The sequence below is a fragment of the Homo sapiens genome, chromosome 9 (genome assembly GCF_000001405.40).
Source record: "Homo sapiens chromosome 9, GRCh38.p14 Primary Assembly".
NCBI classification, from domain to species: domain Eukaryota; kingdom Metazoa; phylum Chordata; class Mammalia; order Primates; family Hominidae; genus Homo; species Homo sapiens.
In genome coordinates this window covers 18,857,209-18,881,329 of record NC_000009.12, presented here as the reverse complement: position 1 = coordinate 18,881,329, position 24,121 = coordinate 18,857,209, and the positions used below count along the sequence as shown (strand labels likewise).

General features: G+C 39.8%; 1 protein-coding gene across 16 annotated transcripts in view; it reads right to left on the bottom strand.

The window, feature by feature from the left end:
- Nucleotides 1–24,121, bottom strand: part of ADAMTSL1 (ADAMTS like 1) — a 1,004,318-nt gene that overhangs the window by 29,621 nt on the left and 950,576 nt on the right. For 4 of the 16 annotated variants that reach the window (XM_017015314.2, XM_047424077.1, XM_047424078.1 and 1 more), the window contains one exon: nt 21,505–22,172. The exons of the other annotated variants lie outside the window; for them this stretch is intronic. In XM_017015314.2, the coding sequence (XP_016870803.1) occupies nt 22,132–22,172 (41 nt within the window). In that variant the 3' untranslated portion in view covers nt 21,505–22,131. Of the gene's footprint in view, nt 1–21,504; nt 22,173–24,121 lie in introns of those variants that run through there. 16 annotated transcript variants of the gene reach the window in all.

Sequence of the window (24,121 nt, the reverse complement as noted above, 5' to 3'; positions counted from 1 at the left end):
TAAATCAGAAGCTAGAAATGATTAAGCTTAGTGGGGAAGGTATGTCAAAAGCCAAGACAGGTCTCTTGCTCCAAACAGCCAAGTTGTGAATGCAAAGAAAAAGCTCTTGAAGAACATTAGAAGAGCTACACCAGTGAACACAAAAAAATTGATAAGAAGTAAAATAGTCTCATTGCTGATACGAAGAAAGTTTTAGTGGTCTGGTTAGAAGATCAAACCTGCTATAACATTCCCTTAATCTAGTGCCTAATCCAGAGCAAGCCCTACTACCTCTCTTCAATTCTATGAAGGCTGAGAGACGTGAGGAAGCTGCAGAGGAAAAGTTGGAAGCTAGCAGAGGTTGGTTCATAAGGTTTTAGGAAAGAAACAGTCTCTCTTACATAAAAGTGCAAGTTAAAGCAGCAAGTTATCCAGAAAATCTGGCTAAGATCACTGATGATGGTGGCTATGTTAAACACAAGAGATTTTCAGTGTAGATGAAACACTCTTCTATTGGAAGAAGATGCTATCTAGGAGCTTGATAACTAGAGAGAAGTCAATACCTGGCTTCAAAGCTTCAAAGGACAGGCTGACTCTCTTGTTAGGGGATAATGCACCTGGTGACTTTAAAGTGAAGCCAATGGTCATCTCTAGTTCCAACAATCCTGGGTCCCTTAAGAATTACGTTACATCTAATCTGCCTGTGCTCTATAAATGGAAGAACAAAGCCTGGATGACAGCACATCTGTTTATAGCATGGTTTACAGAACATTTTAAGATCACTATTTTGTTACCTACTGCTCAGAGAAAAAGCCTTCTTTCAAAATATTACTGGTTATTGACAATGCACCTGTCTACCCAAGACTTCTGATGGAGATGTATAAGGAGATTCTTATTTTCATTTCTGCGAACATAACATCCATTCTGCAGCCCATGGATCAAGGAGTGATTTCAACTTTCAAGTCTTACTCTTTAAGAAACAAATTTCATAATGCTATAGCTGCCATGGATAGTAATTTCTAAAATGGATCTGGGAAAAGTAAATAGAAAATGTTCTGGAAAGGATTCATCATTCTAGATGCCATTAAGGACATTCATGATTCATGGGAGGAGGTCAAAATACCAACATGAACAGGAATTTGGGAGAGGTTGATTCTAGCCCTCATGGATGACTTTGAGGGGTTCAAAACTTCAGTGTTGAGGAAGTCACTGCAGATGTGGTAGAAATAACAAGAGAACTAGTATGAGAAGTAAAGCCTGAAGATGTGACTGAATTGCTGCAATATCATAATAAAACTTGAATGGATGAGGAGTTGCTTTTTACGGATGAGCAAAGAAAGTGGTTTCTTGAGATGGAATCTACTCTTGGTGAAGTTGCTGTGAACAGTGTTGAAATGATGACAAAGGATTTAGAATATTATATAAACTTAATTAATAAAGCAGTGGCAGGGTTTGAGAGGATTGACACCAATTTTGAAAGAAGTTCAACTGTGAGTAAAATGTTACCAAACAGCATCACATGCTACAGAGGACTCTTTCATGAGATGAATCAATCGATGCAGCAAACTTCATTGTTGTTGTCTTTTAAAAACTGCCAGAATCTTTCCAATATTCAGCAACCATCAACATGAAGGCAAGACCCTCCACCAGCAAAAAGATTAGACTTGCTTAAGGCTCAGATAATTGTTAGCATTTTTTAGCAATAAAGTATTTTTAAATTAAGGCATGTATGTGTTTTCTTTTAGATGTATTGGTGTTGCACACTTAGTGGATTACAATATAGTGTAAACATAACTTTTACATGTATTGGGAAACAAAAAATATTGTGTGACTCGCTTTATTGCAGTATATGCTTTATTGCAGTGGTCTGTAACTGAACCCAAAGTAAAGTATCTTGAGGATGTAACTGTAAAGCCTCTGAAACTTATCAAGGCTAAGATCAGTTTTGTGGAAAAATTTTAAAAAAATCCTGGTGTTGTTACTGTGAAGGTTAGTTACACAGATTCATGACTCTGAAGGAGAACTCTAGGTTTCAGTAGGGTTCTCTGGTCTCAGTTTTCTAATTTGCAAGTGAGAATATTTGATGATTTTAAAGGTTCATTTATGTTCGAATGAAATAACCTTTAAGGTGCTTTTAGGTTCCCAAATGTCTTAACATCATCTCAAATTCATTCTCACCCCTCCTCTTCTCTCTCCCACAAAGCCAAGTGCCAGGGCAAAGTGGACCTATTTAAATCTATATTGCTTGGGTTGACATATAGTGAAACGGAACTAAGCCAATGATGGGGTCATGGAAGAAATGTTATATATGAAGGTTATTTAGGCTTTTCAACCTGGCAGTGCAGCTGGTTCCATTGTCAGTAGTTGGTCCTAGTTTGCAATTTGCTTTTCCCACACTTCAGAGGCTGCCTTATTGTGCCCTCTCAGAGATCCTAGCAGCAACTGGCACCTCCCACTCCCTGCAGAGCTCTGAGTCTCAGCTCCTTGTGGCCTCTCCTCCAAGCTTCGAAATTCTAATAATCCTGAGGGGAAAAATGGCAGATAGGAGACAAAACTAACTTGCAGCTTCCACTCAGATGTACAGAGCAGCATGTGAAGACTCACATTGTGATTTTCTGCTCCAAGAACTACCACAGGAACATACCAGGAAAGGCCAGAGAATCCGCAGACCCTTTCAAGGAAGCAGCTTGCCACTGCAGGTGCCATGAGAACAGCCAAAAAACTGGGAGTGCCCAAAGTGTGAGAGGGTGAGAATCTGCTCCCAAATGCACATCCTCACTGGGGAACCTGAAGGTCTAGATCACAGGAGAAGGATTTGACCTTACCAGGAGCTGAGATTAATTTAGAGAGCTGAGAAAAATGTAGGGGTAGATGTAGTAGTGGGAAGAGCCCTGTTGGCTCTCAGTTCCTGGGGAAGCCATTTCTGACTTTGTCTTACAGGGGTCCTTGGAGAGAGCTGCCAGTGGAATTGGGGAAAGACCACAAGGAGTAGGAAATTTCCAAATGAACTTTGTAACAATTTTGACTGGATATGAAGTTTCCTGGACAGAATCCTGGGGAGGGGGGTTAACAGGGAGTGCAGATAGGAGCACAGAAGCCACGACAGGTGGGGAGGTGTGAAACCTGAAAGCGCTGCTTGCTTTCTCAGCTGGGAGGCTTGTAGCCTGGGCCAAGTTCTCAGCCCTGCTCACTGGCTGCCTGCAAATAAACTTGGTGCTATTGGTGGGGCATGGTGGGAGTGAGACTGGCCTTTCGGGCTGCATGGGAGCTGGGTGAAGCCTGTCACTGCCAGCTTTCCCCACTTCCATGGCAACTTGTATGACATAGCAGAGGCAGCCATAATCCCCCTGGGAATATAACTTTGTTGGCCTGAGAACTACACCCAATCCCCTATAGCAGTCCCAGCAAGCCCCACCCAAGGAGAGTCTGAGCTCAGACACGCCTAACCCTGCACCCACCTGATGGTCTTTCTCTACCGGCCCTGGTAGCTGAAGACAAAGGACATAATCTCTTGGGAGATCTGTGGCCCTGCCCACTGCCTGAGAAACCCCAATACTTATCCAGGTGACCCTAGGGCAAGCTTGTATACTCCCTATACTACCACACCTGATGATCCTTGAAAGTGCCACCTCCTGGCTGGAGGTCAACAAACACAAAACCAGCACACTAAACAAAACTACAACCAAGGACCCTCACAGAGTCCACTTCACTCCCCTTCTACTGCCACCAGAGCAGGTACTGGTATTCATGGCTGAGAGACCTGAAGACAAATCACATCACAAGACTCTTCACAGCCTCTCCTCAGTACCAGCCAGAAGCCCAGTAGCTCCACTGGATGGCTAAACCCAGAAGAGAAATAACTATCACTGCAGTTCAGCTCCCAGAAAGCCCCATCCCTAGGGGAAGTGGGAGAGCACCACATCAAGGGAGCACCCTGTGGGACAAAAGAATCTCAACAGCAGCCCTTGAGCCCCAGATCTTCCCTCTGACATAGTCTACCCAAATGAAAAGGAACCAGAAAAACAATCCTGGTATTATGACAAAACACTCCCAAAAGATCACACTGGCTCACCAGGAACGCCTCCAAACCCAGAAGAAATCTCTGAGTTGCCAGAGAAAGAATTCACAATGTTAATTATTAAGTTACTCAAGGAGGCACCAGAGAAAGGTGAATACCAGCTTAGAGAAATCAAAAAAATGATACAGGATATGGATGGAAAAGTCTCCAGAGAAATAGACAGCATAAATAAAAAACAATCATAACTTCTGGAAATGAAGGACACAGAGAAATGCAAAATACACAGGAAAGTCTCAACAGAATAAAACAAGTAGATGAAAGAACTTCAGAGCTTGAAGACAAGTCTTTTGAATTAACCCAATCTGACAAAGAAAAAAAAGATTAAAACAAATGAACAAAGCCTTCAAGAAGTTTGGCATTATGTTAAAAGATCAAACCTAAGAATAATTGATGTTCCCAAGGAAGAAGATAAATCTAAATGTTTGGTAAACATATTTGAGGGAATAATCGAGGAAAACTTCCCTGACCTTGCTAGACATCTAGACATCCAAATACAAGCTCAAAGAACACCCAGGAAATTAATTGCAAAAAGATCATCATCTAGGCACATAGTCATCTGGTTATCTGAAGTCAAGACAAAGGAAAGAATCTAAAGAGCTACAAGCCAAAAGTATCAGGTAACCCATAAAGGAAAACCTACCTGATTAACAGCAGATTTCTTGGCAGAAACCCTACAAGCTAGAAGTGATTGGGGTCCTATCTTGAGCTTCCTTAAACAAAACTATTATCAGCCAAGAATTTTGTATCCAGTGAAACTAAGCATCATACATGAAGGAAAGATAGTCTTTTTCAGAAAAACACATGCTGAGAGAATTCACCACTACCAAGTCGGCACTGCAAGAACTGCTAAAAGGGGCTCTAAATCTTGAAACAAATCCTCAAAATACACCAAAATAGAACTTTGTAAAGCATAAATCTCACAGAACCTATAAAACAATCACGCACACACACACACACACACACACACACACGTATTCAGGCAACAACTAGCACAATAAATAGAATAGTACCACACCTCTCAATACTAATGTTGAATACAAATGGCTTAAATGCTCCACTTAAAAGATGGAGAATGGCGGAATGAGTAAGAGTTCACCAACCAAGTATCTGCTGTCTTCAAGAGACTCACCTAACACATAAGGACTCACATAAACTTAAGGTAAAGGGGTAGAAAAAGGTATTCCATGCAAATGAACACCCCAAACAAGCAGGAGTAGCTATTCTTATACCAGACAAAACAGACTTTAAAGCAACAGCAGTTAAAAAAGACAAAGAGAGACATATATAATGATAAAAGGACTAGTCCAACAGGAAAATATCATAATCCTAACTATGCACATAATACTGGAGCTCCCAAACTTATAAAACAATCATTACCAGACTTAAGTAATGAGATAGATGGCAACATAATAATTGTGGAGACTTCAATAATCCACTGAAAGCACTAGACAGGTCATCAAGACAGTCAACAAAGAAACAATAAACTTAAACTATAACCTAGAACAAATGGATTTAACAGATATTTGTAGAATATTCTACCCAACAACTGCAGAATATACACTCTATTCATCAGCACATGGAATATTCTCCAAGATAGTCTATGTTACAGGCCATGAAACAAGTCTCAGTAAATTTAAGAAAATCAAAATTATATCAAGTACTCTCTCAGACCACAGTGGAAGAAAATTGGACATCAACTCCAAAAGGAACCTTCAAAACCATGCAAATACATGGTAATTAACCTGCTCCTGAATGACTGTTGTGTCGACAATGAAATCAAGGTAGAAATTAAAAAATTCTTTGAACTGAATAATAATAGTGACACAGTCTTTCAAAACCTCTGTGATACAGCAAAGGTGGTGCTAAGAGGAAAGTTCACAGCATTGAATGTCTACATTAAAAAGTCTGAAAGAGCACAAATAGACAATCTAAGGTTACACTTCAAGGAATTTGAGAAACAAGAACAAACCAAACCCAAACCCAGCAGAAGAAAGGAAATAATAAAGATCAGAGCAGAACTAAATGAAATTGAAACAAAAAATAGATAAATGAAACAAAAAGCTGTTTCTTTAAAAAGATGAAACAAAACTGATAGACCATTAGTGGGTTAACCAAGAAGAGAGAAGATTCAAATAAGCTCAATTAGAAACAAAATGGGAGATGTTTCAAATGATACCACAGAAATACAAAAGATCATTCAAGGCTACTATGAACAGCTTTACATGCACAAACTAGAAAACCTAGAGGTGATGGATAAATTCCTGGAAATATACAACCCTCCTAGATTAAACCAGGAAAAAACAGAAACTCTGAACAGATCAATAACAAGCAGTGAGACTGAAATGGTAATAAAAAATTGCCAACAAAAAAAAGTCCAGGACCAGATGGATTCACAGCTGAATTGTATCAGACATTCAAAGAACAGTTAGTACCAATCCTACTGAAACTATTCCAAAAAAAAAGAGAAGAGGGAGTCCTCCCTAAATCAGTCTATGAAGCCAGTATCATCCTAATACCAAAACCAGGAAAGGACATAAAGCAAACAGACCAGTATCGCTGGTGAACATCAATGTAAAAATCCTCAACAAAATACTAGCTAACCAAATCCAACAGCATATTAAAAAGATAATCCACCTTGATCAATTAAGTTTCATACCAGGGATGCAGGCATGGTTTAATATCCACAAGTTAATAAATGTGATACATCACATAAATAAAAAAATCCCATGATTTCAATTGATGCAGAAAAAGCACCTGACAAAATCCAGTATTGCTTTAGGATTAGAACCCTCAGCAAAATTGGCATAGAAGAGACACACTCTAAGGTAATAAAAGCCATCTATGACAAATCCACAGCCAACACTATACTGAATGGGGAAAAGTTCTCCCTGAGAACCAGAACAAGACAAGAATGCCCACTTTTACCGCTTCTCTTCAACATAGTACTGGAAGCCCTAGCCGGAGCAATCAGACAAGAGAAAGAAAAGAAAGAAAGCGCATCCAAATCGGTAAAGAGGAAGTAAAACTGTTGCTGTTCACCAATGATATAATCATATACCTAGAAAGCCCTAAAGACTCTTCCAAAAAGCACCTAGAACTGATAAATGAATCCAGCAAAGTTTCAGGATACAAAATTAATGTATACAAATCAGTAGCCCTGCTATACAACTACAGCAACCAAGCTGAGAATCAAATCAAGAACTCAACTCCTTTCACAATAGTTGCAAAAAAAATTAAAATACTTACGAATATACCTAACCAAGGAGGTGAAAGACCTCTACAAGGAAAACTACAAAACACTGCTGAAAAAATCATAGACGACACAAATGGAAACACATTCCATGCTCAAGGATGGGTAGAATCAATATTGTGAAAATGACCATACTGCCAAAAGTCATCTAAAAACTCAATGCAATTCCCATCAAGATACCACCATCATTCTTCACAGAATTAGAAAAAACAATTCTAAAATTCATATGTAACTAAAAAAGAGCCCACATAGACAAAGCAAGACTAAGCAAAAAGAACAAATCTGGAGGCATCACATTACGTGACTTCAAACTATAAGGCCATAGTCACCAAAACAGCATTGTACTGGTATAAAAATAGGCATAAAAAGACCAATGGAACAGAACAGATGACCCAGAAATACAGCCAAATACTTACAGCCAACTGATCTTCAACAAAGCAAACAAAAACATAAAGTGGGGAAAGGACACCCTATTCAATAAAAGGTGCTGGGATAATTGGCAAGCCACATGTAGGAGAATGAAACTGGATCCTCATCTCTCACCTTCTACAAAAGTCAACTCAAAATGGATCAAGGACTTAAATCTAAGACCTGAAACCATAAAAAATTCTAGAAGGTAACACTGGAAAAACCCTTCTTGACATTGGCTTCAGCAAAGACTTCATGACCAAGAACCCAAAGCAAACGCAATAAAAACAAAAATAAATAGATGGAACCTAATTAAACTAAAAAGCTTCTCAACAGCAAAGGAAATAATCAGCAGAGTAAACAGAAGCTCGCAGAGTGGGAGAAAATCTTCACAAACTATGCATCTGGCAAAGGACTAATATCCAGAATCTATAAGGAATGCAAATAATCCTATCCATAAGTGGGCTAAGGACATGAATAGACAATTCTCAAAAGAAGATACACAAATGGCCAACAAACTTTTGAAAAAATGCTCAACATCACTAATTATCAGAGAAATACAAATCAAAACTACAATGTGATACCACCTTACTCCTGCAAGAATGGCTGTAATCAGCAAATCAAAAAATAATAGATGTTGGCATGTACGTGGTAGAAAGGAACACTTTTACACTGCTGGTGGAACTATGGAAAACAGTATGGAGATTCTTTAAAGAACTGAAAATAGATCTACCATTTGATCCAGCAATCCTGCTACTGGGTATCCACCCAGACGAAAACAAGTCTTTATATATAAAAAGAGACACTTGCACATGCATGTTTATAGCAGCAGAATTTGCAACTGCAAAATACGGAACCAGCCCAAATGCCCATCAATCAATGAGTGGATAAAGAAACTGTGGTGTATACATATACCATGGAATACTACTCATCCATAAAAAGGCATGAAATAATGGCATTTGCAGCAACCTGAATGGAATTGGAGACCACTATTCTAAGCGAAGTAACTCAGGAATGCAAAAACCAAACATTTTATGTTCTCACTCATAAGTGGGAGCTGAGCTATGAGGATGCAAAGTCATAAGAATGATACAATGGACTCTGGGTACTCGGAAGGAAGCATGGGAGGTGGGTGATGGATAAAAGACTACACATTGGGTACAGTGCACACTGCTTGGGTGATGGGTGCACCAAAATCTCAGAAATCAGGCCACTGAAGAACTTATCCATATAGCCAAACAATACCTGTTCCCCCCAAACCTACTGAAATTAATAATAAAAAAGGTAATTTCTAATAATCCCAACCTCTTCCCTTGTTCCCTCAGCCCTAGTGATGGTAGCTGCTTTCAGCAGTTGCTACCTCTATGATTGCTCTGTAAGTATCACAGAACTTTTGCAGTTCTCCAATACTTGTTTAACCAAGTCCTATTATATTCTATCTGTTAAAAAAAAAAGAAGGTTATTTAGGAATGATACAGGCAGAGAGCAGGGATATACAGTAGGAAGGGGAGGGTATTCTGGAAGAAGCAGTGTAAGCAAAGGTGCAAAGATGAGAAAACTTGTAGTGTGGCTGGGAGTAAAAACTACTGACTTGGTTGGAACTTGGGAAACATAGATACAGCCAGCATTGTGGGTAGGAGTTGTAATGGAGAGGGCCTTGAAGGCCAGAATCTGGTCTTTTGGGAATCCCTGAAGATGCCTGAAGACGCCTGAAGACGGGAAGTGGTATTATCTAGGTTGGCTTTAGAAGGATCGTTAAGGTGGTTCTTTGCAAGATGCACTAGCTTTAGAGAGTCTGTATCAGTTCAAATTGGCAAAAAAGAGAGACATATTTGCAAAAGCAGCTCTGATGGAATGTGAGGAAGAAAGGGGAGGATGCAAATAAGAGCTAAAGAGTTTGGAACACGAGTGAGACCATGAACAGAAATAGGTAAGTCAGTAAGAGAAGCTCTTCCTTATCACCACCCCTGTGGATGGAAAAATGTAGTTTTAATTTTCTTTCATTTAAAGGTTGTGATGGAACCCCAAGATGAAAAAATCCATCAGGATGATAAAGATGGAAGCCAGTTAGAAATAAGAGCTGGAGACACAGATTTTGGGAACTTGTCTTATAGGTATGTGTGGACAAAATAATCAATGACAAGAGATCAGTCCTCAGGACGAAACACTGGAAGAACTCTAGAATTCAGTGATTGAAGAAGGAAGAAGAGATATCAAAGGAGCCTGAGAAGAAATGATTTGAGAGAGAAGAGGAAAACTGAGACTATGTAATAACATGGAAGCTTAGAAAGCAAAAAATTTTAAAGAGGCAAGATGGCAAATAAGTGGCTAATAAGAATTGTTGGAATGGATTAATGGTTTCATTTGTTTATGAAAATAACTGACCAAACATATTTTTCTAATAATAGGCTCCCCACCTCTGGTAATATAGAAGGTGAACTTCATTCTGACTCACGTTGGAATGATAAAAAATCCAAAGGTAGTGAAATCAGAAATTAAAGCATTTTGTATAATCAAAATATTACATTTAATGCCATGGACACCTATCTCTTTATATAATTTAGGAGAGCATTTACTTCTGGATCTTGAATATTTAGAAGTATACTAACAACTGGGTTATTAAGAAGATAAAGAATTAGAAAAGAGGTTGAGTAACAATGCTTCAAATTTTGCAAAACAGAATGAATAGATCTTGGCCAGAAAACTCTTAAAACAACTTGACTGAGGAGTCTAGCTTCCATTAATGGTGAATAACTTAGTTGGACTTACCTTCCTGCAGATAGCAATCATAAAATCTAAACAAAAACAAAACAAACCCCGAGAAAAACAATTACTACTTGAAAACATTGAAGAATTACCAAAAACAGTGGCAGAAATAGGACAGGTATCTAGCCTAGAAACCTGGCAATTGCAACAGGTATAATCTACCAGCTTGTGTTTTTTTTTGCCTGAAAATGGCTTAAGGAGCTGGAAAGCTTATAACTTTATTGGCTTGTGATTTCAGAGGTCAGAGTCTGGGGGCTGTTAAGACAGCATGTAAGTTTAGAAGCAAGTCACAGAAGAGCAACAAAGGCGATGAATTTCAGATTTCTGCATAAATTTTACTAGATTTTTAGCAGGCAGACCCCAGAGGACCCAGCAAAAGAGCAGCAGGTAGAAGCTAAAAGAACAGAGCAGAGATTTCAGTTGCTGCCCACTGCAGGGAAGATAGAGGCTAGAGTTTGAGTTAATTGCCTGTTAGACCAAAAATAAATGTTCTTCAGAGGAACATAACATAATTCAGAGCCTCTATATCCGTACATCTATAATGTTCAAAACCAGTTGACAAGAATAATCAAAAACCACTAGACAGGAAATGAGACCAATATTTCAGCAAAAGAGCTGTCAACAGAAACCAATCCTGAGATGATACAAATGCTGCAGTGAGTGGACACTGACTTTAAGCAGCTATTATAAATATGTTTAAGGACATGAAAATACACTCATAATAAATGAACAGATGGCATGTATCAGTAGACAAGTAGAAACTATAAAAACTTCTAGAGCTTAACAATATGAAAAATGAAATGAAAAATTTACTAGACAATCTTAACAGAAGATTAGAGCTGGCAGGAGTGTCAGTAAACTTGAAGTTCCACATAAATTATCCATTGTGAAAAACAGAAAAAAATTGAAAAAAAATTGAGGTCTAATATATGTCTAATTGGAGGCCATGAAAGAAAGAAGAAAATAACTAAAACATATTGGAAGAAATAAAATCCTCAAACTTCCCAAATTTTGGGAAATCTGAAAGTTCTAAAAAGTTTACAAACCACCTATGCACATCATAGTCAAATTGCTGGAATTAGTAGATAGCAGAGAAAGAAAAAATATTGAAAGCCAGGACAGAAAAAAAGCTAGACTACATGTAAGGAAACAATGATGTGAATGATGGTTGACCTCTTATAGGAAACAAAGGAAACCAGGAGATAATGGAACTATTACTTTAAAATGCTGGGGAAACATAAACTGGTGAACCCGGAATTTTCATCTAGATAAACCCTCCTTTAAAAATGAAATTTACTGCTTCCAGCTATGATGAGGTAACAACAGGATTGAATTTATTCTCTTGCCATAAATATTAGAAAATGGGATAAAAATGTATGAAACAACTGTTTTCAGGTATTAGACAACAGAAACTAGAGGACTGTGATCCCTGGAAGAAAGGAAACAGACTAGGTGAGCTCTGCAATTTCCCTGGAGGCACATTGTGAGCTGCAAAGCATGGAAGGGTGTATTAGTTTTCTAGGGTTGCCATAATAAAGTACCACAAACTGGGTGGCCTTGGCTTGTATAAGATGAATTTATTGTCTGATAGTTCTGGAGGCTAGAAGTCCGAGATGAAAGTGCTGGCAAGGTTGGCTCCATTTGAGGACTGTGAGAGAAGAATCTGTTTCATGCCTCTCTCCCAGTTTCTGGTGGTTTGCTGGCAATCTTTGGTGTACCTTGGCTTGCAGATGCATCACTCTGCTCTGTCTTTATGTTCACATGGAGTTCTGCCTTGTGTGCATGTCTGCGTATATCTAAATTTCACCTTTCCATAAGGACACCAGTCATGTTGGATTAGGGTCCATATGAATGACCTTATCTTAACTTGATCATCTACAAATACCCTATTTCCACATAAGGGCACATCCACAGGTACTGGAGATTAGGATTTCAACATCTTTTGTGGGGATACAATTCAACACATAACAGAGGGATATCCCAAACAGAGCACAATAGTCTAGACAAATTGATGAGACAAAGAAGAGAGTTTGAAGAGGCGGAGGCAACTGGACACTATTGAGCAGAATTCCGGAGTTGAGGGTGCTACACAGAAAAAGAGCTCCCAAAATCTGCATAAATTCCTCTTGAGATTTTGCCCAACTGAAGATGTACGTGCATCAGGTTAAAATCTGCAAGGTTTAGCAAAGAGCAACCAGGAAGCTGTGAGCTTTATATTTTCCAAACTTCAAATAGGGCTGGAAGGCCTTTGAGTTCTGACCAGCAAGAGTGGAATGTAATTGTTGATCATCCAGAGCATTTAATAGAGACCCCAGAAAGGCCTTAGGGTAAAGGCTACTCTAGATTTGCTCTAACTATGCTTAAAAACATCAAATTTAACTTTGAATAACTTAACTAATAGAAGAAAACCCCAACAATCTTTAAAGGAAGACAACAAAACCTAGACATTTGATGTAAAATCTGCACTGACCAGTAGATAGCCAAATATTACTCGACAAGTCAAGGAGGAAAATGTAATACATAATGAGGACAAAAATCAGTCGATGGAAACAAATCCAGAAACGACAAGGATGATGGAATTGGTAGACAAGGATCTTAAAACAGAGTGTTAAAATATGTTAAGTATTTAAAGAAAAATGTGTGCATACTGAGGAAGAAAGTGGAAGTAATAAAAAATCAATTGGACTTCTAGAAATGACATATATTTTCTGAAATAAAAAATTCACTGGATAGGATCAATAGCAGATGAAACATTATAGAAAAAGATCTGTGAAATCCAAGATATAATAATAGAAATTAGCCAAAGTAAAGCAGAGAGAGTAAAAAGACTAGAAAAAAAATCAAGTAGTCAAATATATGTTAGACAAGGTGAATACATGGGTGTGTGTCTGTTAAAATTGTGCGGTTAAGATGTATGTATTTCAGCCAGGCATGGTGGCTCACGCCTGTAATCCCAGCACTTTGGGAGGCAGAGGTGGGTGGATCACGAGGTCAGGAGTTCAAGACCAGCCTGGCCAAGATGGTGAAACCCCATCTCTACTAAAAATACAAACAATTAGCCTGGCATGGTGGCAGGCGCCTGTAGTCCCAGCTACTCAGGAGGCTGAGGCGGGAGAATTGCTTGAACTCAGGAGGCAGAGGTTGCAGTGAGCTGAGATCACACCACTGCACTCCACCTGGGCGACAGAGCAAGACTCCATCTAAAAAAAAAAGATGTACGCATTTCAATGTATATACATTTTACCTAAAAGAATCATTGAGTAGGATGGAGTGGGGCATAGGTGAAAGTACAAATGAAATAAGAATGGCAGAAGGTGGTGATTAGGGCATGGGGGTTCTCTTATATACCATCAGGTTTATTTTGTATATATGTGAAATTACCCATAATAAAAAGAAAAACACATTTGCACTGTTTAAATCATCAGGAATGACTCTGTGTCTAAACAATTGCTTTTACATACTTTGCCTATTCAGCTCTATTTTCTAGAAAGTTTTAACAAGTTTAAAACAATTGCTGTACCAGCCTATTTAAACATATTTTCCCAAATATTTTATAATCTGTCCAACTTAAAAATTCCTGCTGGTAGGTTCACTTTCATTCATGCAGCTCTGTTGCATTCAGAGATTACTTTCATTTGTGCTCAATACCTTTGCTTCTGACAACTTTAGGTTGGTTGCTGTGTGTGGCAGAATCTGCTAGTCCCTTCATATCTGTCCTCCTCTTATTGGAAAAGAACCTCTGAACTTGAGGTACATAGTTTCTTGGAATAGAGATTTTTCCAACTTTCCTTGCAAGAAAGTGTGGAGCATGTGGTTACATTTAGTAGAGAGGGAGAGGGCTGTGCACACCTCCTGAAACCTGTCTTTAAAAGGATTTGTTCCTCTTGCCTCTTCCTCTATCCTGCTGTTGAGAACATGTATGTACAGCAAGCCATCCTGGCCTAGGTGGATAAGGGCAACACTCCAGAGATGTCAGAGCAAGAGGAGATTAAAGACATTTTGCCTTGGTCTCTAGAGGATATGGTGTCAGACCAGGCATGGAACATCTTCCTCTGGACCGTTACTTGAAATTGGAATATACTTCTGCCTTCTTTAAGCTACTGTTGCTGGGAGTCTTTGTTAAAAGTTGCTGAATGTATATCCTAACTACAACAATCCTAACATAGCCTCTCATTCCTGAGGCAATGTCCCTCTGCTGTAGAGGTGACTGTATTTCCCTTCACATCAGGACAGTGACCTCAGGGAATGTGCTTCTAATAAGCATGACTGTTCATCTTGAATTGGAAACACTTTTAGGAAAGTCCACTTTCAACAGTAAAGGGAAAGATCAAAATAAATTAATTATAACCAAAGTAAATGAACAAAATTGTCAGCCATCTGCCTTTTCTGTCACTAATCTGTTTTTCAAGGCTTTCAACTAAATACGTAGCTTATTTTATAAAAACTTTGTGTTCAGAATTGGTATTCTCAGCACATGTAGTACAGGCCCCTGTAATTTTATGTACATATTTATGTGCATGTCTCTGTGTGTACACAGTGCTCTCTATGGATTGCCAGCAGCAACAGTCAAAATAAGGAATTTAACATGAATCCCCACTGTGTATGTTCCCAGTGAATAATTATCCATGTTTCACTGCTAATGAGAAAACCTGGCTTTTAACAGGTTCCTTTCTGTCACGGACATTTCTCATTTGTTAAAACAAATGAAGTATCCGTCATTTTTTTTTTTTTTGGTTTTTGAAGGCAAGCAATCTCTCTGTGTGCCATTTACAAGGACACCAAAAAACACGTGCTAATAATGTATTCCACACCTTTGAGAGGCCAAATAATAAACCATTCCCAACCCTCCCTTTCCTTCAACGAAGAAGTTCACAGTATTTAAGGCAGGGGGCTAGCATCTCTCTTTTCTGTTTCCCTCCCAGCTACGTATATGCGGAGCATTTCCACCCCAGGAAAGAGGCCATCAGCAGGCAGTGACAGTGCTGTCTCCTCTCCAGGCCTCAGCTATTAAAGGGCTTGGGTTAGTGAGGTGGCTGAGGAGGACGCAGCACTTGGCAAGGCTGCTTTCTAATGAGAGTTCTGGCAGCAGAAGGCCTCTCTCTATCAACCCTTCTTAACCACTGAAAGAAAATATTGTCTTTAGGCCCCATTCCTAGGCCTAAAGTGGTTCTAAACTGAGCCAAAGCCAGGTGTGATTCACATATGTGTAAGATTTCCTCTCCCTAGTTTCATCTATTTTTTAAAAAATAGCTGGAAAGTATGAAAAGTTTAGAATGGGACAGATGTACCCAATAAGAAAACCAAATTATACATGAAGTTGCCCCCTTCTAAAAATGTGTGATTGACATATGTTTATTGAGGCACTATTCACAATAGCAAAGACTTGGAACCAACCCAAATGTCCAACAACGATAGACTGGATTAAGAAAATGTGGCACATATACACCATGGAATACAATGCAGCCATAAAAAATGATGAGTTCATGTCCTTTGTAGGGACATGGATGAAGCTGGAAACCATCATTCTCAGCAAACTATTGCAAGGACAAAAAACCAAACACCACATGTTTTCACTCATAGGTGGGAATTGAACAATGAGAACACTTGGACACAGGAAGGGGAACATCACACACCGGGGCCTATTGTGGGGTGGGGGGAGCGGGGAGGGATAGCATTAGGAGATATACCTAATGTTAAATGACGAGTTAATGGGTGCAGCACACCAACATGGCACATGTGTACATATGTAACAAATCTGCACGTTGTGCACATGTACCCTAGAACTTCAAGTATAATTAAAAAAAGAGACTGGAAAAATATAACAAAATATTCAAAGTTATAATAGGAGAAAAAAAATGTGTGATTGATTTTTTTTTAATCTTAAACACCAGAAAAGACATCTCTCTGAATGGGTCTAACATCCCTAAGTACTGACATGAAATAGGGAAAAGGAAACACTAAAGACCAGGGGGTTCCCCTCATTATTTGCTCCAACTATGACAGAATCAATGGCCTCCAGCAAGGACAGGGCATCAGTCCAGATGTAACCTATAATGTGCCACCAATTGACATCCTTGCTTTTTCCCATTGACTTCACTGACTTTCTGCATGTTTGTCTCTTGATTTTACATTGGCTTCTGTGACTAAACAGCCTGACTCAGGGAAACAGCCTGAGTTGGACAGATGAGGACATGGGGGAAGAAAACTGGGAGCCCTGGCATCTCTGGCTTCACTTCCTCGCACCCTCAGCAGAAGATGCTAACTTTAATACTGGTAGCATAAGGTTGCCTTTGTGGCACCTGTCTCTAAAGAAGCTCTGAATTCACAATACAAGGGTCATTATATAGTGGATTTTTTGTTGATTCAAAGGTCTGAAAATCACCAAGATTTTTGGCCAGTGGCTTAATTTGTGGGCTTCCTTGTAGGATAGATCAAGCCAGCTCAGGCATTCATTAGCTGCCAGTCACTTTGAGTGAGCCACACAGCCAAAGTTCATTTTGATGTGTTCCTAGCCTTAATAAGCAGAAGCAAGAATTCTGAGTGCACGTTTTTTCTCCTCTTCCCCCTCTCCAGCCAAACAGCTCAGAAAAAGGCACCTGAGCTTGATAAACAGATTGCACAGAGTAAAAGCTGTAAATGGACTGAACCCAGTTCACGGGGAAGAATGCTCTGAAAATAAGAATATACAATCTAAAAGAGGAGGAGAAAAAGTAGTACTCTGGGAATTTTCACGTATTTAACTGCTTTCTAAAGGAAAAGAAAGCTGTGGCTGATTAGGACATGCTGTGTAAAAGTATGAAAGATGTGGCATTATTACTTCATGAGCTGGCTCCAGGCCTGTCAGCATTTTCATTACAATCCTCTATTTTTCACAGAGTTAAACTTACTATAAAAATGATGTGTGTCGGGATGAAACTTGGCACTTGGTGTAGTCAGTCTGGGAGTCCTTTCCTTAATTTAATTTTCCAAAACTGGAAAACACTCAGTCCTGTAAATTTTATAGAGGGATCTCCATTTTGCTCGTGGTATGTGGTGTGTACGGGCCTCACTCTAAGGCCATGGGGTGACTGAGCAAAAGTAGGGAAGTCATTTCAGTGCCTTTTCTGGCTCCTTCCATTTCTGGTTTGGCATTCTCTTGGGTGGCAGAGATGGTCGCTAAAGAGCTTAGAAGGAGTGGGAGCTGGCACCAAGCAGCTGGCTGAGAGGAATGATTAATTCATATTGGAAAAACTCAGTTACTCCCTCCATTTGTCAGCTGGACCCTAGAAGGCTGTGGGAGAAGACAAGCAACTTTAATTTTCACTCCGATTTCTGGGACCTCCCAATAAGCTGGTCAAATAACTGGGCCAAGATGATTCCCATGTACATTTTCCCAAAGAAAACTAACTTTAAGACATTCCTGGAAAAATAAAACTATCCAAGCCCATTTTCCATTCCCCAAATGTCTCTTCACCCCTAGCGTAAGCTTTGGGTTTCCGTTGGCAGGGGGTATGCTAACGTCTCCCATGATCCTGGGCATCTGGTAGAAGAACTTGATATATTTCTCAGCATGAAAAGTAGCTCCATCCAGATTTATGACTTGATTAAGGCCTTGCATTTTCCAAAATGATTGGGTTACTGTGTGGTTACTACCTTCACCCATACCCTAGGACTTGGTTATTCTCTTACAGGTGAAGAAGATGAGATGCCTGCTCCTGATACTTTGCACACACAACTATGAAAATGTGACTGTACTGTAAGATAGAGTTTGGCCGTGTTAAACAGCATGCTTCTCCAGGATTGACTGGGCCACCTCTAGGGGGTAGCAGGCAGGCAGGCTCTAGGAAATTAGTCCAATTTTAAAAGTTCACAGTACTGTTGATCAGAATTGAACCTACCTCATGAGGATAATACACAGGGTTCCCATAAGTCCTTCTCTGCCAGTAGGCTCTTGGCATAAAATATACCTTTTAAAAACACATCAGCATTTTTTTTAAAGTTTCAACTTTCTGGGTTTATAAGTCCCTAGTTGACTCTACCCTCAGGCTGCTGGCAGGTGCCACCTGGCCTGCAGGAGGGAAGACCAGGATGACCCTAGGGAGGCCTGGCTGCAGGCTGCCTGGAGCTAAGGAAGTAATTTCAATCCACAGATGAGATGGCCTTTTAATGAACTCTAGAATGTGGATCATACTTGGGTCATACCATACTTTTGAGGAGAGTCCTAGGTCAGAAATTCCCCTCTCTGTGTATACTTATCTATCACGCACACCAAGATTAGATTCTGTAAGGAATGAAATTGATGTTTCACATTTGGTCTGAAATAGGACATTATTTTAGGACTTTCAAGGAAGCGCTCTATAATCAAGGTGCTACTGCTCTGAGAAGAAAACAACAGTTTCAGAGGAAAACCTGCGGACTCTATGAATATTCCCTTCTCTTGAGTGATATAGCTGTTCTCATCCCCTCACTCCAGCCAATGGAAAGGCAAGCTAGAAAATACACAGATCAGCTTGGAGGAAAAACAAAAGCCAGCAGCAGCTCCGAGCCAGCATGCCTCAGGAACTCAGGCTAAGTTTTGCTCTGATTTTGGGTGAGAGCCTCTGCAAAAGAAATAACGCCCTTTACCCCAACACAAAAAAAGAACCTTCGCTCACAGCCCTGTCTACATCCCATTTCATTTCTCTTCTGCTGAACCAAAGCCACAGCATAGCAGTGGATATGAAGAATGGCTAATATTCCTAGCACGTATCCCGGGAGGCCTCACTGGGCACAGCACAGGGTTCAGCTGCAAGCCACAGGAAGGAGCCGCTGCTGACTAGGAATTCCACGGTGAGCAGTGGGGGTGGAGCTACCAGGGGAACGCAAAGACCTTTCCTGGATTTATTATTCCCACATTAGTCTCCTGGGTCTTGAGGCTCCAGAAACTTCTCAACAAAGGAAAGAAAATAACAAACAATGTGAGGGAAGTAAAGACGGGGGAGAGTTGAGTGGTGAGCTGAAGTAGGGATGAGAGCCATGGCAAGGGAGCAGGAGGAGGAGTAAGGACAGAGGTGTCTGAAAGGATCTGGCTGGCTCGCTCCTGGGATAAGAATATGCTCTGGCAAGTGATGTCTGGCCTTTGGCAGCCAAGCCCAAAGAGCGAATGGTTTTTCAAGGACCCATAAATAGATAGGTCCTATAAAGAAACATCAGAAATCCATCCACAGCCCTTACTGGAAACGTCACAGCATCAGTGTGATGGGCATCTGAAGGGCAGAGAGTTGTCCAAATGCCTGCTATTTGTCTTGCAACCTACATTTCTAGTATTGATTTGTTTTGGCTCCTAATCTTCTTTGGGTGTGGTTCTCAGTTTGCCTTGGATTTATATACTCCAGAGACTCCTGTGGAGCATTTAGTGGACTCTCTGATGGCTTAAGGAAGAAGTGGCCTGGTTCAGATTCCTGGGTCCAATTCTGACCTTTCCGAGATTCACATGGACTTAGGAGCCCTAAAACCAATGCAGTCTCCTTAGGCAACCTGGGATTCAGGCCAATTTAGACCTGGATGAGGCAGAGCACATGCTGTTCTGCTGGGAATTGATAACTTGATTGAATCAGTTCTTTTTGGGCTTCCCTATTTTCCATAGCACTCACATTGCATGAAGGTGGAGGGTCTAGAATGGGAAATGTGTATCAAAAGAGGGATGTGTATATGATCTCTGTATAATGAGGGATGTGTATATGATCTCTGTATAACGAGGGATATGTATATGATCTCTGTATAATGAGGGATGTGTATATGATCTCTGTATAACGAGGGATGTGTATATGATCTCTGTATAATGAGGGATGTGTATATGATCTCTGTGAAACGAGGGATGTGTATGTGATCTCTGCATAACGAATGGAAGTGAGAACTAAAGTTTCCACAGAGCTTCTCAAAGGCATTCCAAGGACAGCAGATTTGAAAGCCTAAATCCAGACGTGGACAGAGCAAGTACGCTTACTGTGGGACAGAAATTATGCCTGTTATCCAGTAACATTACTGGGCACCTGTATTCTGCTTTAAAATGTACAATTAGCATTTCATTAGAGTTTGCTCTTAGATCTCTCTAAAGACCAAAGCTGAGAAACCCTAGAATATAGAGAAGGAAAACCAACCTTTTCCTACAGTAATGAGATTTTTTCCCCTTAAAATTTATTTTTGAATTATGATGGTGGGGGTGGGAATTGGGAATGAACAGTGTTTACAATAAGGTGTTTACATATTGCCATCTGACTCTTCACTCTTGTCAAAAAATTATTAAAAACAAAGTAGTCAAAAGATGTTTGTCATTGTTGGTAAGAAGGCCAGAGCAGGAGTTGGCAATTTTTTTTTTTTTTAAGGGCCAGATAGTGAATATTGTAGACTTTGTGAGCCATATGGTCTCTGTCACAACTACTCAACTCTGCCATTGTAACTTGAGATCAGCCATAGACAATACATAAACAAATGGGTGGGGCTGTGCCCCACTAAAATCTTATTTATAAAGGGGTGGTGGTCTAGACTTGCCTTCAGGACCAACCCCTGGTCGAGGGTATGAGATCATTTGAGTTTCTGTATGCTGAGAACAAATGGCCTAGTAAAACCACTAACTGCCTGGGCAAGATATATTTTTACCCCCAAAGAAAGCAGCCATTTTCACAAGACAAGGAAGATGAATTCAATACCTTCTTTTCTAATTAAAAGATCCAACTTGTTACTTTAAAAAATACCAATGCATGTTCATTATAGACTAAAAGCTCACAAAAATATAAAAATTCAAAAATCCCTCAAGTCCCACTTCTCAGACGTAATTGATCTGAATGTCTCTCTTTCCAATCACACATATGCACACACATCATTAGGCAGATTAATAAATCTTGGACAATTTTCTTGTCAATGAATGTAAGTCTACCTCATTCTTTAAATGGGTGATGGGTGCACTAAAATCTCAGGATTCACCACTATGTAATTCATTCATCCATGTAACAAAAAAACCACTTGTACCCCAAAAGATATTGAAATAAAAAAAAAATCAGCACCATTATGAAGCAAAAAAAAGAATCTTTAATCAACTCTTTATAGATAATTACATGTTTCCAATTTTTCACTAATATAAACTACGCTGTGGTGAATTTCCTAGTACATACATCTCTGTGACCAAATATTTCCCTAGGTTACATGACTGAAGTAGCACTGATAGCTCAGTAGGTATCATTTGAAAATACTGATATACATTGCTAAATTGCCCTTCAGAAATGTTATCCTAATTTACGTTTTGGGCAACAATGCATGATAGTATATATTATTTAATTCTTTGATCTTCTGATAGGCAGAATAACTGCCCCCCTAAAGAAATCCACACCCTAATCCCCGAAACCTATGAATATGCTACCTCACATGACAAAAGGGACTTTGCAAATGTGATTAAGAAAGAATACTGAGATGGGGGATTATCCTCGATTATGCAAGTAGGCCTCATGTCATCAAAAGGGGCCTTATAATGGGGAAGATAGCGAGTCAGAGAGAAATGTGAAGATGCTATGCTGCCATTCTTGCAGATGGGAGAAGGGCCACAGCCAAGGGATGCAGGTGGCTTTGAGGAGCTGGAAAAGACGAATATATTTCCCCGTAGAGCCTCCAGAAGGAAACATCTTGGTCAATCTTGATTTTAGCCCAGTAAGATCTGTTTTGGACTTCTGACCTCCAGAACTGTAACAGAGTAAATGTGTCTTGTTTTAAGCCACTAAATCTATGGTAATTTGTTACAGCTGCAATCAAGTTAATACAGATTTCACAAACTTTTTCATCTTCACCAACCTATTTATGGCAAATAGTATTTCATTTTATTTGCTTTTCTTTAATTATTGGTAAGACCGAATTTGTTGTCAACCTTTTGATGTAGAGCAAGTAGTTAATGTTGCTGGGTAATGCATCTATTAAGAAACTGAATAAAGTTCTGGATTCTTTCACCAGAGAAAAGCATATTTGCACATATATTAGAGGGCTTATGGAGTTCCCAAAGCTTGTGGACCCCAGGTTAAATACCCCTGAACCAGAAAGCGGGAGTGGAAGGGGTACCAATGACAGCATTCTCTTATTCAAAGTCACAAAGGTAAGACCTGAGATCATGTCCCAGCCTGGCAGATAGGTAAGATTTGACGTAAGCAAGTGCCTGGCCAGGAAGGCAATAATCAGGGATCTGGCCAAGCAGATCCTTCCTGCACCGTGGAGCACAGAGGCTGGGCATTGCCCAGCACCTACTCCTCTTGTTCTCTACCCATTTCACCGACTAGCTTCTAAGCCTGGAAACAATAGGGTTTCTGTTCAGAAATCCTCAGCAATTCCTCATACTTTTGCTTTCTTTTCTTAAATGGTTCAGTCGAAACCCATTAGGCAAGGCTAAAGAAGACAATGTTCATCAATGTTCATAGGGAGACAGGGAGCCGTGGTAGTCCAGGATGGGATGTTGAGGCTGAACAGAGTGAAAAGGGCATCTAAACCAGGGGTGCAGTGGTGACCTGAGGAGGGATGTAGAACCTGAGTGAGGCGAGGACAGCATCTGTGTGGGGGTGGGGGCAGCAATGGTAGGAGGCTGTTTATATGGAGGGCTTGATCGCATAAGAAAGTGTGTTAATGATAGTGGGTGCCAGAGAATTACAAATATGGAAGAAGAAAAAAATAAATCCTGTGGTGTTGGGTAAGAGTTGGACATACAAGGGAGGACTCATGACTCAATGTATAGATTAATATAGAAATGATTATATTAGTGTGTGTGTATATGGCTATACATGCACAGATATATGCATTTTTTTTTTAAATTCTGGGTACTGAGAGCAGTGACACATCAGTAGCAATGAACTTACTTGATGTTGAAATCTTGGTGTCTAAATACTATTCTCTAGGGCTGGAGCAGGGAAAGTTCAAGATGAACCTAGAATATCTTCTTGTGCCAGAAAGTAATGAAGTTCTTAAAGAATGATATGAACGTGTCAAAAGATATGAGTCATCTTAAAGTCACATTGGCTGCATCTGGGGAATGTTTTACTTTAAAATAAAAGAAGTTAGGATAGCATAGATTATAGCCCATTGGATAAGACAGGAGGCCACAAGTTCATGCAGGTAAGTTCAATGAGGAATGAGATATTTGCCACAGTCCCAGGGGACCTCCTCACAAAAGACGTATTAATTCCAAAGGAAAACTTTGGAACTTAACTTCTGCAATGGAAAAGGTCAGAAGATACCACTTTAATCAAGAGACTGGCATTAGCATCAGCAGTCATGGTATAAAGGAAATCATAATCATGTGATTGGGTGTGATAAGAAGAGCCCAGCATCACTTCTGTGATGTTCTTGCCAAAGTCTCACAACAAAGACTCATCTAATCATGTGGAAACATCAGGCACATCCAATCTGAGGGACATATTTCAAAATAATAGGCCTATCATCTTCAGAAGCGTTAAGGTCATAAAAATTGAGGGAAGCCCGAGGAACTGTTTTCGTTTGAAGAAACAGAAGGGACATGACAACTAAATGCAATGTGTGATTTGGGGAGGAATTCTCTTGCTACTAAAGACATTATTGGGATAACTGAGAAACCTTGAAGGAATATGCACTGGGCAATGAGGTATTATGTCAGCAACTTACTCCCGAATGGATGA